Below are 13,367 nucleotides of genomic sequence, written 5' to 3' on the forward strand. Positions count from 1 at the left end.
AGGAAATGGATTTTATATAGTTTGGAGTGGCCTGAGCTACTTTCTCTTGTGCTTGTTTTGGATATTGCTAATCAGGTGTGTGATGTTTACCTTCTGGCAATAGGAAGTGGACTCCAGGTGGCAAGAATACCAAAGCCGAGTGGACTCCCTCATTCCCTGGATCAAACAGCATACAATACTGATGTCAGATAAAACTTTTCCCCAAAACCCTGTTGAACTAAAGGTAAAGTCAAGGACTTAAATTTTTTTGGTAAAATCTTTCTAGGGAGTAAGTCTCCAAGCTTATCACTGCTGGCTTCTAGGTGAGGTGGTATGAAAAATTGGGTCCTATAGTTTGTGTCCATTTATTCACCAAATATTAATTTTATAGGCACTTTATAACCAATATATACACTTCAAAGAAACAGAAATTCTGGCCAAGGAGAGAGAAAAAGGAAGAATTGAGGAATTATATAAATTACTAGAGGTAAGTGAGCTTATCCTTTGCTGAGACTTGGGGTTTGCTGGTCTGTACTGTTGTTGCTTCTTGATTATAGATTCCTTGTATTCTTTTCCCAAACTGCATTAATAGAAGTACTCTCCTGGTGACAAATAATAGCACCACTCTCAGGCTGGTCTTAAAATGTTGTGGTAAAGGGGCAATGTCAGCCATCTCTGTTTTTTAAAGGGCTTATTGAAAAATGACATGTATTTATTCAGAAATCTTGAGTTTTGTGGACAAATTTTTCTGCTTCTCAGAGGGAAGCTAAATCTTTCCCTAGGGTGGAAAGAAGAGAGACTTCTATTCAGAATTTGATTCCCAGAGAATTTGAAGTTGTAGAAATGAGAATTTAACCTTGCCAGAATAAAAGTTATTGAGGGGAAAGGAGGATTTATAGAAAGTGTAAAAGGAATGGAATGACTTAGAGTAGGTAGTCCCTACATTCTAGAGGTGACTTTTCTGCTCTTTAACTCAAGGGTGAAGAACCTGATACATATTTGATTGTTTTTCCATGTTAGACAATAGGAAAAACTGCTGAATGGCTGGGTAAAGAAGCAAGAAGTGATGTGCAAATAATAAATCAAAACTGGGACAAGAGGGCATGGCTGTGTTTTTGGACTGAAAGAGTATCTGTTTCAGGTGTGGATTGAATTTGGCCGAATTAAACTGCCTCAAGGTTATCACCCTAATGATGTGGAAGAAGAGTGGGGAAAGCTCATCATAGAGATGCTGGAACGAGAGAAATCACTTCGGCCGGCTGTGGAGAGGTGGGTCCAGATCCTGAGAGTGGTCTGACATTATTTATTGAGCTGCTGTGAACCTTGCACATGACTATGGTTTTATCTTATTTCAGGCTGGAATTGCTGCTACAGATTGCAAACAAAATCCAGAATGGTGCTTTGAACTGTGAAGAAAAACTGACACTAGCTAAGAATACACTGCAGGCTGTAAGTCTCTGACTGTTTTGTCCAACATCTGTGTCACATGTTTCCTGCTTCTCACCCTCTGCTCTAATTGTTGAAGTTAGCAATCGAGGAATCCAGATGTATTATTTCCCTTTTTTTTTTTTTTTGGAATTGCAGTAGACTTCTTGGCTCCCTCTGTCCTAGTGAGTGGGGCAATGGAAGTTTTCCCACTGTTATTCTCTCTTCCTGTCTCAGGATGCTGCTCACCTGGAATCAGGACAACCGGTACAATGTGAGTCAGATGTCATTATGTACATTCAGGAGTGTGAAGGTCTCATCAGGCAGCTGCAGGTGGATCTCCAGATCCTGCGGGATGAGAATTACTACCAGCTAGAAGAGCTGGCTTTTAGGTGAGGAACAAGGGACTCAAATGGAGGGCTTGCTTGCTTACTGCTGAGGCTCATGGATCAAGAGTAGAGCAAGAGTCAGGCACTTAATCTTTTAACCTGGACATTTGAGGTCAGTGTCTCAATGGGGATACTACAGGTCTCTTGGGCAGGAATGTTTTGTCAGTAGAGGACAGTTTCCCCTTATTGCAGCTCCATCCCACTAAGTACCTATAGGATTACTTCAATCATTGTGGCCTTTTGTAACATCCCACATACTTTATTTTAATTAATCAAAGACAGGGTCTCACTTTCGTTGCCCAGGCTGGAGTGCAGTGGCACAATCATGGCTCACTGCAGCCTCGACTTCCTGGGCTCAAGCGATCCTTCCACCTCAGCCTCCCAAGTAGCTAGGCCTATAAGTGCAGGCTGCCATGCCCAGCTAATTTTTGTATTTTTAGTAGAGACGGGGTTTTGCCATTTTGCCCAGGCTGATCTCAATCTCCTGGGTTCAAGCGATCCTCCTGCCTCAGCCTCCCAAAGTGCTGGGATTATAGGCGTGAACCACTATATCTGGCCCATTCTCATATATTTTAGAACGACCTGCAGGGTTGGGACACAACACAACTTCTGATTTAGAAACATTGGTGATCCATCACATTCTTTTTATAGGGGGGAAAATTGAGACCCACAGAAGATGAAAATTATGTAAAGTCATGTGGCTAGTTTTTTTTTTCCCCTTTTTTTTTTGAGATGGCATCTTGCTCTGTAGCCCAGGATGGAGTGCAGTGACACGATCTCGGCTCACTGCAACTTCTGCCTCCTGGGTCCAAGAAATTCTCTTGCCTCAGCCTCCGGAGTAGCTGGGAGTACAGGAGTGCACCACCATGCCCAGCTAATTTTTGTATTTTTAGTAGAGACGGGGTTTCACCATGTTGGCCAGGCTGGTCTTGAATTCCTGACCTTGTGATCCACCCACCTCAGCCTCCCAAGGCTAGTTTTACAGAGCCAAGACTAGGACCCACATCTCTTGACCCCTAATCCATTGTTTATTATATTTGGGAGTTATATAAATAGTATTGTTAGCTTCCCTCCAGTTAACACTGTAATTTGGCATTTGTCTTAAAAACAATTCTGAACTAGATGAAGATGTTCATAATATCACCTTGTATTCATATAACACTTTCTAAACACTTTTCCTTCTATGATCTCATTTTTATTTTTATTTTTATTTTTATTTTTTTGAGACAAGGTCTTGCTCTGTCACCCAGGCTGGGACGCAGTGGTGTGATCTCGGCTCACTGCAACCTCCGCCTCCTGAGTTCAAGCAATTCTCCTACCTCAGCCTCCTGAGTAGCTGGGACTACAGGCATGTGCCACCACACCCGGCTAATTTTTGTATTTTTAGTAGAGACGGGGTTTCACCATGTTGTCTAGGCTGGCTCATTTTTATTTTTATCATATCTTTGTCAAATGGATAAGGAAGATTTTATTTTTAAAAACTATACTATAGATTTAAATCCTTTCCTTTTTTCTCTTCTTCCATTTCAGGGTCATGCGTCTTCAGGATGAGCTGGTCACCTTGCGTCTAGAGTGTACAAACCTGTACCGGAAGGGTCATTTCACTTCACTTGAATTGGTTCCACCCTCTACTTTAACCACCACTCATCTGAAAGCAGAACCCTTAACCAAGGCAACCCATTCTTCTTCTACCTCCTGGTTCCGAAAGCCTATGACTCGGGCTGAACTTGTGGCCATCAGCTCCTCTGAAGATGAAGGCAATCTCCGATTTGTGTATGAACTACTGTCTTGGGTAGAAGAGATGCAGGTGGGTGCATATCCAAAAGCTTATGCAGTACACTGATGTTTACTGGATCTGGAAGCTTATCTAAGAGGACCAAATTGCTTTGTGTTCCCTGTGCAGATTCCCTTAATTATTATTATTCTTTTATTTGAGTGATGGGGTCTTGCTATGTTGCCCAGGCTGGACTGGAACTCCTGGGCTGAAGTGATCCTCCTGCCTCAGTCTCTTGAGTAGCTGGGACAATAGGTATATGCCACCATACCTGGCTTGACTTTCTTAATTATTGATGCTGCCTGAGACCCAAGCCCCCTTCTCCTTAAATCTTGCATGGATGAGGTTGGCACAAATTCTCACAGTCCCGTACTGAATAGCATACAGTTTTCTCATTTGAAACCCTTTGGAATCTTTTCCCTCAGCTAACTGTACTCTGAGTGAGAGCTTGGTGAAAATTGCAATGTCTTTACATCTGTTACCTTTTTTTTTAATTAAAAAAATTTTTTGTGGGTACATAGAAGGTACATATATTTATACGATACATGAGATATTTTGATACAGGCATGTAATGCATAATAATCACATCATGGAAAATGAGGTATCCGTCATCTCAGGAAATTTATCCTTTGTGTTACAGACAATCCAGTTATACTCTTTTAGTTATTTAAAAATGTATAGGCTGGGTGCCGGGTGCAGTGGCTCACGCCTGTATTCCCAGCACTTTGGGAGGCCTAGGCGGGTGGATCACAAGCTCAGGAGATCGAGACCATCCTGGCTAACATGGTGAAACCCCGTCTCTACTAAAAATACAAAAAACTAGCCAGGTGTGGTGGTGGGCGCCTGTAGTCCCAGCTACTTGGGAGGCTGAGGCAGGAGAATGGCGTGAACCAGGGAAGTGAAGCTTGCAGTGAGCTGAGATTGTGCCACTGCACTCCAGCCTGGGAGATAGAGTGAGACTCCATCTAAAAAAAAAAAAAAAAGTACAGGCTGGGCGTGGTAGCTCACACCTGTAATCCTAGCACTTTGGGAGGCCGAGGTGGGCGGATTGTGTGAGTCCAGGAGTTCAAGACCAGTCTGGGCAACATGCGAAATCCCATCTGTATGGAAAACTAACCGGGAATGATGGCGCGCACCGGTGGTCCCAGCTACTTGGGAGGCTGAGGTGGGAGGATCACTTGAGCTTGGGAGGCAGAGGTTGCAAGTGAGCCAAGATCGCACCACTGCGCTCCAGCCTGGGCAACAGAGCAATACCCCATCTCAAAAATAAAACATTAAACAAAAAAATGTACAACTAAATTATTTTGACTATAGTCATCCTGTTGTTCTATCAGATGCTAGGTATTATTCATTCTTTATTTTTTTGTACCCATGAATCATCCCCACCTCCCTCTGATCCCGTAATACTCTTCCCAGCCTGTTTTGATTTATACATCCCACAGCTAAGTGAGAACATGCATTGTTTGTCTTTCTGTGCCTAGCATATTTCACTTAACATAATAACCTCTAGTTCCATCCATATTGTTGCAAATGACAGGTTCTCATTCTTTTTTATGGTTGAATAGTACTCCATTGTGTTTAAGTACCACATTTTCTTTCTCCATTCATCTGTGATGGACACTTAGGTTGCTTCCAAATTCTGGCTATTGTGAATAGTGGTGCAACAAATGTGGGAATGCAGATCTCTTTGATACACTGATTTCCTTTCTTTTGAGTATATACCCAGCAGTGGGATTGCTGGATCATACAGTAGCTCTATTGTTAGTGATTTGAGGAACCTCCAAACTGTTCTCCATAGTGGTTGTACTAATTTACATTCCCACCAACAGCATACGAGGCTTCCGTTTTCTCCATATCCTCACCAGCATTTGTATATTGCCTGTCTTTTGGATAAAAGCCATTTTAACTGGGGTGAGATGATATCACATTGTAGTTTTGAGTTGCATTTCTCTGATAATTAGTGACGTTGAGCACCTTTTCACGTGCCTGTTTGCCATTTGTATGTCTTCTTTTGAGAAATATCTATTCAAATCTTTTACTCATTTTTAATTAGATTATTAGTTTTTTTCCAGTAGAGTTGTTTGAGCTCCTTATATATTCCAGTTATTAATCCCTTGTCAGATAAGTAGTTTGCAAACATTTTCTCCCATTCTGTGGGTTGTCCTTTTTTTTTTTTTTTTTTTTTTTTTTTTTTTTGAGACAGAGTCTTGTTCTGTCTCCCAGGCTGGAGTGCAATGGCGCAATCTCGGCTCACTGCAACCTTTGGATTCTAAGCAATTCTCATGCCTCAGCCTCCCAAGTAGCTGGGACTACAGGCACGCGCCACCATGCCCAGCTAATTTTGTATTTTTAGTAGAGATGGGGTTCACCACATTGGCCAGGCTGGTCTCGAACTCCTGACCTCAGGTGATCCACCCGTCTCGGCCTCCCAAAGTGCTGGGATTACAGGCGTGAGCCACCACACCTGGCCTGTCCCTTTCCTTTGTTGATTCACTGTGCAGAAGCTTGTTAACTTGATGTAATCCCATTTGTTCATTTTAGCTTTGGTTGCCTATGTTGGTGTGGTATTATTCAAGAAACTTTTTCCTAGACTAGTGTCTTGGAAAGTATTTCTGGTGTTTTCTTGTAGTAGTTTCATAGTTTAAGGTGTTTATCCATTTTGATTTGATTTTTGTGTATGATGACAAGGGACAGGGATCAAGTTTCATTCTTCTACATACAGATATCCAGTTTTCCCAGCACCATTAATTGAAGAGACTGTCCTTACCCCAGTGTATGTTCTTGGCACATTTGTTGAAAATGAGTTCATTGTAGGTGTATGGATTTGTTTCTGGGTTCTCTATTCTGTTCCATTGGTCTATGTGTCCATTTCTAGGCTAGTACTATGCTATTTGGTTACTATAGCTCTGCAGTATAATTTGAAGTCAGGTAATGTGATTCCTCCAGTTTTGTTCTTTTTGCTCAGGATAGCTTTGGTTATTTTGGGTCTTTTGTGGTTCCATATAAATTTTAGAATTTTTTTTTTATTTCTGTGAAGAATGTCTTGTATTTTTTATAGGGTAAATCTGTTTTTTTTTTTTTTTTATTCTCTCATTGACAGAGGAGTTTATTCTTCGTTTTTCATTGTTGATGTAACTTTTTTTTTTTTTTTTTTTGAGATGGAGTTTCACTCTTGTTGCCCAAACTGGAGTGCAATGGCACGATCTCGGCTCACTGCAACCTCTGCCTCCCGTGTTCAAGCGATTCTCCTGTCTCAGCCTCCCTAGTAGCTGAGATTACAGGCGTGCGCCACCACGCCCAGCTAATTTTTTGTATTTTTTTTTTTAGTAGAAATGGGGTTTCACCATGTTAGCCAGGCTGGTCTTGAACTCCTGACCTCAGGTGATCCGCCCACCTTGGCCTCCCAAAGTGCTGGGATTACAGGAGTGAGCCATTATGCCCAGTCTCAACTTTTTTTTTTGAGACAGAGTCTCACTCCGTCACCCAGGCTGGAGTGCAGTGGCGTGATCTCCAGTCACTGCAACCTCTGACTCCTGGGTTCAAGCCAAGCAATTCTCCTGCCTCAGCCTCTCAAGTAGCTGGGATTACAGGCGCCCACCACCATGCCTGGCTGATTTTTGTATTTTTAGTAGAGATGGGGTTTCACCATGTTGGCCAGGCTGGTCTCGAACTCCTGACCTCAGGTGATCCACCTGCCTCAGCCCCCCAAAGTGCTGGGATTACAGGCGTGAGCCACTGCGCCTGGCAATCGTAACTCTTAAGTTTAAGCAAGGCTACTGTATTCCGCAGTTCCAAGGGGCACTATTTACATGTGTTCAATGATAGTGGTTCAAATTTGATATTGCCCTTATCTTTCTAACCCTTTTGTTTTATATTAAATTCTTCCTATGTCTGCATAATATATTCCCCATGTAACAATAAATAAAAATATCCCAAAGTAACCTGTTTTAAAATTATCTTCCATTGGCCAGTAGTTGATGTCATGAAATGAAGCTAAATATTTTCAGATACTTCTTTGTTATATCAGTTATGATTGTGAAATGAAAAGACTCCATAAAGAGAAATGCCTAAACTGTAAAGTTAAGCATTTTAAGCCTGTGAAGTTCCCTTTCCCTTTTGGTTGATTACTCCAGGAATGTATACTAATAATGCAGCAGCAAAAGGCTGCTCTGTTGTATAATTGGTGGGCTCTGTTCTCCTGCTTCTTAGCGGTGATGATGGCGTAATTTTTGTGTAAGAGGCTGTAGATTGAAGGAGATGGCCTGGATGTCCTTTTGCTCAGTCCTCTACCCCTTGGTTCCTTGTCCTAACATTGGTTCTGACCATTTTCCTACCAAGCCAGCAGTAAATTATGTCATATATATATTTTTTCTTTTTCAGATGAAACTGGAGCGAGCAGAGTGGGGCAATGACCTGCCTAGTGTGGAGTTGCAGCTAGAAACACAGCAGCACATCCATACGAGTGTAGAAGAGCTGGGCTCAAGTGTCAAGGAGGCCAGGTTGTATGAGGTGCGTAGCCTTCAGAATCCACATTACAGGAGGGACGTGGTTGGAACGGATGAAAGGACAGTACACACAATAAAGCTGTATTGAAGGAGGAGGGTGCTCTGGAAAAGAATAATGATGATGAAGAGCGGTTTATGACAAATTCCCTTTTCACATGAAGTGTATCTGTTAATCTTTGAAATAAACTTGTGAGAAAAGTATTTTTATTAACCCCTTTTTACTAAAATGAAAAGTGATACTGGAAGCTGAGGTCAGAATTAGTAAGTAGTGGATGCAGCATCCAAACTCAGGCCCTCTGCCTCTATAAATTCAGGCACTTTTTACTTCCCCATCTGCCTGCAGTTGAGCGCTGGTTTAGAGAAACTATTCACACAGTTTCCTCTCTCCTTCAGTCACTGTTCTATCTTCCCAGTTTATATTTCAACTCTTCCCTTCAAAAAAGCAGTTGAGTGGGAATCAGGCATTGGTTTTGCTTAGAAGCCTACCAGAATTGCTGGAAACACAGGATAGTGAGGTCTGTTGTTTGTAATTACCCTGCTCAACTGTTGCTCACTTAGTGCTGCTCCAAGTTATAAAATATGACTCAGAAATTTGTTGTCTAAGCTTCTGTTTTCTTAGAGCAACCAATCCATATCTCTATCTAGACATAATATTTGCATAGTTGCAACCATAACACGTAGTTTACTTACTCTTTCTCTAATGTATTTTTATTTCATTCTTTTTTAATCAGGGAAAGATGTCCCAGAATTTCCATACCAGCTATGCTGAAACTCTTGGAAAGCTGGAGACACAGTATTGTAAATTGAAGGTGAGTTTCTGCCGATTCTCTTACATTCTGCTCATAGAGTCTGGTTCCCCCCAATCAACTCTCTTCCGTAATTCAGAAATCTCCTGGTTTGGCCCTGTTTTGGTTTTCTGCTTATTAGGTTATATCATTTACTATGCACTTATTCATATCTATTATAACATTTTCCCAATTTTCTAAATGGGTCAGAAACTACTGTTCTTGAACGTTTTAAATAAATAGAACCTATCCTAGGTATTGTGCTTCAACAAACGTGTGGCTATATGTGCTTTGAGACACCAAAACTAAAAGTTTGAGATTTGTAGAGAGGGGACTTTCCCTCTGATCTGTTGTTTTTCATCCCTGTTTATCAAGATTGTCCAGAGTAGGACAGCCCAGGACCATTCTTTATCCAAGGAGCACCACAAAGGCCTTATGAATTCTGTTTTCTACTTAGGATTGAAAAGAGTTCTGGGAGTCTTATATCAAACTTGTACAAAACTTGAATCCATGGGGAAAAATCCAGAGATTAAGAGCAAATTAATTTCCTGAGTTATTCTCTCCTTTGATGTCAAATGTGCTATCTTCTACAGATACAAAGGCTGCCAGTCTAATCTTATAATCCTTGCTTTGTCTAGGAAACTTCTAGCTTCCGGATGAGGCACCTTCAGAGCCTGCATAAATTTGTTTCCAGAGCTACAGCTGAGTTGATCTGGTTGAATGAGAAGGAGGAGGAGGAACTAGCATATGACTGGAGTGACAACAATTCCAATATCTCAGCCAAGAGAAATTACTTCTCTGTGAGTCTAGCACAGTAGCAGGCCTGTCATACTTATTTAACAGCAGCAGAAGGAGACAGGGCCTAGTCTGCTGAAAGCTTGGGTGGCTGGAGTTGCACTCTGCTAGATAGAAATAGGGGCCCTACTCAATGCATCCATGCATGTGAGAAGTGTAAATGGAGAGAGGGACAGTAGAACCCTAGAGTTAATTTATCTAGAATGCATTTAGAAAGGCAGTGTCTTGGGTGAATAGAGCAGCAACCTGTAAATTGAGTCATTTCAGAAGCAATACAGCATTGTGGTTAAGATTATAGGCTTTGGAGTGCCTAAGTTCAAATTCTTATTCTTCTACTAACTAGCTCTATAACCTTGGGAAGTCATTTAATCTCTCTGGACCTCCATAAAATGAGATAATAGCACCACTTCAAAGCTACCCCCTCCCCTAATAGCACGTATTCCCCAACGGTTGCATAAAAGATTAAGATTTAATAAGCTAATCTAGACAAAGCATTTAGTCTAGTATTGTTCAACTGGGATATACTCTGGACTTTCCACAAATTTCTGAATTCTCCTTAATTCATTTATTAACTTTTTTGTTTCAATCTCTTCGTTTGTAAAAATGGGAAGGGAAATTTAACATTGGACAATAGGACACTGCTTTTTATTCTTTTCAATGAAAGATGTAGACAAGTTAGGATTAGTTTTTGCTACTTTTAGTATTTTCACACTCAGAAGATTTTTAAAGATTTTGTAAACTATGCAAATAGGGAGTTTCTTGTTTTTGTTTTTAACATGCACTTTAGACAGTTTAATTCTATTGATTTAGGGTTCTTAAAAAATATAGGCTTCTTCTGATTGGAGAATGGCATATGATTCTACTGAATTAAAGAAGGAAGATTGGATACTATAATACAATAAACAGGCTGTGTGAGAACTGAAATTAGGCTATAACAGAGATATAAAGAAAGTGCTCTGAAAGCATAGTAAGGATCAGTATCCAGCTTCACAGAAGAGCTATTTAAATTGAGTCCTGCAGTTAATAGAATTTAGAGTCAGTGGAGGACATTGTAGGCTGAATAGTCTAAGCAAAGCCAACCAGTCATTGATACCCATGTCCTGGTGTGTCATGTACTGGTGTGGGTACTGACGTGCAGGAACTGTCCACTCCAGCCAAGTTATCTCTTGTCTCTGGTCCAATGCTTATTCTGTGTTCCCCCATTTTACTCACATCTGGGTCAGGTCCCATGTCCTTTGTGAATCATTTTCCAATAATTCCAGTGTTTGTGCCCTTCTCTGCAATCCTCTGGCATGCACTGTTTATACATCTCATTTTGCCACCAATTCTATATTGTAGGTTCCTTTAAAATAGGGAACACAGCTTTTATTTATGCTATCCGCTCCCCACTGCCAAGAGTGCTTATGCTGTAAAATTGAATTCCATTTTCAGGAGTTGACAATGGAACTGGAGGAGAAACAGGATGTGTTTCGTTCTCTACAAGATACAGCAGAACTACTTTCACTTGAGAACCACCCAGCCAAGCAGACAGTGGAGGTGTGTGACTTGAGAATGTGTGAAGGTCAAATGCTGAGAGGTTGTTGTTATAAAAGTATTCAAATTAGAGACTTTGTTCCACTGAAAGACTTGGAGGAAGTGTCAGGGAACATTTGTCTTGGGTCTTCTCTCTTTTCATTCCTGACTGTTCCTATGTCCCTCAAAAGCCTGCAAACATTTTTGTTAGTCTAAGGAAACTACTAAGAGAAACAATAGAAGGGGCATTGGCTCACAGCTTTCAGAGGAAAAGTGACTTGGACCATATTTCTTCAAATAACTATCCAGACAGATCCTGACTTGACTCTTGTTGGTGTGGTGCCTTTGCCAAAAGAAGAGAAACAGTGGAAGAATTCCAGAGGAATTTATTTATGCCTGGGTTTTGCTGCCTAGATCATTTACTTACAACTGAGTGTGGAAGAGACCTTTTCTATGTAACCCCCTCTAACAAAACCATTTTGGATTAAAGGAACACCTCTTACTCGTGGGAAGCATTGAGCAGATGCCAGTCAAGTATCTCCACATCTTTTCTGTTGGCTTCTCTATCATTAGCAGAGTTGTACTTGGAAAATAGTATTGCGCATATATATTGAGTCTGTTAAACTCAAGCCCTTCTGTCTGTGTGCTTGTTTATTGCAGGCTTACAGTGCTGCTGTCCAGTCCCAGTTGCAGTGGATGAAGCAGCTGTGCCTGTGTGTTGAGCAGCATGTGAAAGAGAATACTGCTTATTTTCAGGTGTGATGGATTTCTGTGTTTGTGTGTGTGTGTACATATGTATGTTAAAGGTGAGGTTACAAACACATCTGCGTTAGTGTGCTTTTGTTGTATAAACCACCACCTTAAAATTTAGTTGCTTAAAACAATAGTCATTTAGATAGCTCATGATTCAGTAGGTGAGCAGTTTGGGCAGGGCTCAGCTAAGTGGTTCATCTTATCTTGCCTGTCTTACTCATGGCTGCAGACAGGCTGGGGGCTGGTTGGTCCCAAATGGCATTGCTCATGTCTGAGAGTTGGCTAGGTGCTGAAGCACCAACCCATGTGTCTCTAGCATCCAGCAGCTTTCTTCACAAAGTGGCTGTGTTTCATAAGCAGCAAGAGAGAGCGAGTCCTAGAGCACAAGTCCTTTTTTTCTGCTTGTGTCACATTTATTAATGTGCCTTTGGTTAAAGCCAGACATGTGGCTGTGCCTGGCTTCAAGGTGAGGAGAAATAGACTCCACCTCTTGATGGGAGTAGCTGTAAAATATTATGACCTTTTTTTTCTTTTTTCAATCTGTCAGAACATGAAAGAGTGTACTGCTGGCCGGGCACCATGGCTCACACCTGTAGTCTTAGCACTTTGGGAGGCTGAGGCAGGCAGATCACCTGAGGTCAGGAGTTCAAGACCAGCCTGGCCAACATGGTGAAACCCCTTCTCTATTAAAAATACAAAAATTAGCTGGGTGTGGTAGCACACACCTGTAGTCCCAGCTACTTGGGAAGCTGAGGCAGGAGAATTACTTGAACCTGGGAGGCAGAGGTTGCAGTGAGCCAAGATCACACCACTGCACTCCAGCCTGGGCAACAGAGCAAGTGTCTAAATAAAAAGAAAGAAAGAAAGAAAGAAAGGAAGGAAGGAAGGAAGGAAAAGAAAGAAAGAAAGAAAGGAAGGAAGGAAAAGAAAGAAAGGAAGGAAGGAAGGAAGGAAGGAAGGAAGGAAAAGAAAGAAAGAGAGAAAGAATGTACTTCTTATTTTCAGGTGAGGTGGGAGGAGAAAATAAGCTGTTACCTCTGTTTTTGCCCTAGATTTTTTTTTGAGACAGAGTCTCACTCTGTCGCCCAGGCTGGAGTGCAGTGGCACGATCTCTGCTCACTGCAAACTCCGCCTCCCAGGTTCATGCCATTCTCCTGCCTCAGCCTCTCGAATAGCTGGGACTACAGGCGCCCACCACCACGCCCGGCTAATTTTTTTGTATTTTTTTAGTAGAGACGGGGTTTCACCATGTTAGCCAAGAAGGTCTCGATCTCCTGACCTCGTGATCTGCCCGCCTTGGCCTCCGAAAGTGCTGGGATTACAGGCGTGAGCCACCGCGCCTGGCCTTTTGCCCCTAAATTAAATAGTTTCCGTGATTATTTCATAGTATGAATTGAAACATTTGATCACTCAGCCTTAGGTTTTTCATGAAATACACCCCACAGCCAAA

General features: G+C 41.7%; 1 protein-coding gene across 2 annotated transcripts in view; it reads left to right on the forward strand.

Annotated features, from left to right (window-relative positions):
- The window catches only part of MACF1 (microtubule actin crosslinking factor 1), a 402,972-nt gene that overhangs the window by 199,796 nt on the left and 189,809 nt on the right, over positions 1-13,367 (forward strand). For both annotated transcript variants that reach the window (NM_012090.5, NM_001394062.1), the window contains 11 exons: positions 104-223; positions 371-466; positions 1,121-1,248; positions 1,335-1,428; positions 1,642-1,796; positions 3,324-3,600; positions 7,948-8,076; positions 8,804-8,881; positions 9,496-9,657; positions 11,084-11,188; positions 11,825-11,920. In NM_012090.5, coding sequence (NP_036222.3) covers positions 104-223; positions 371-466; positions 1,121-1,248; positions 1,335-1,428; positions 1,642-1,796; positions 3,324-3,600; positions 7,948-8,076; positions 8,804-8,881; positions 9,496-9,657; positions 11,084-11,188; positions 11,825-11,920 — 1,440 coding nt within the window. The remainder of the gene's footprint in view (positions 1-103; positions 224-370; positions 467-1,120; positions 1,249-1,334; positions 1,429-1,641; positions 1,797-3,323; positions 3,601-7,947; positions 8,077-8,803; positions 8,882-9,495; positions 9,658-11,083; positions 11,189-11,824; positions 11,921-13,367) is intronic.

This window comes from Homo sapiens, chromosome 1, assembly GCF_000001405.40.
Source record: "Homo sapiens chromosome 1, GRCh38.p14 Primary Assembly".
Taxonomy (NCBI): Eukaryota; Metazoa; Chordata; class Mammalia; order Primates; family Hominidae; genus Homo; species Homo sapiens.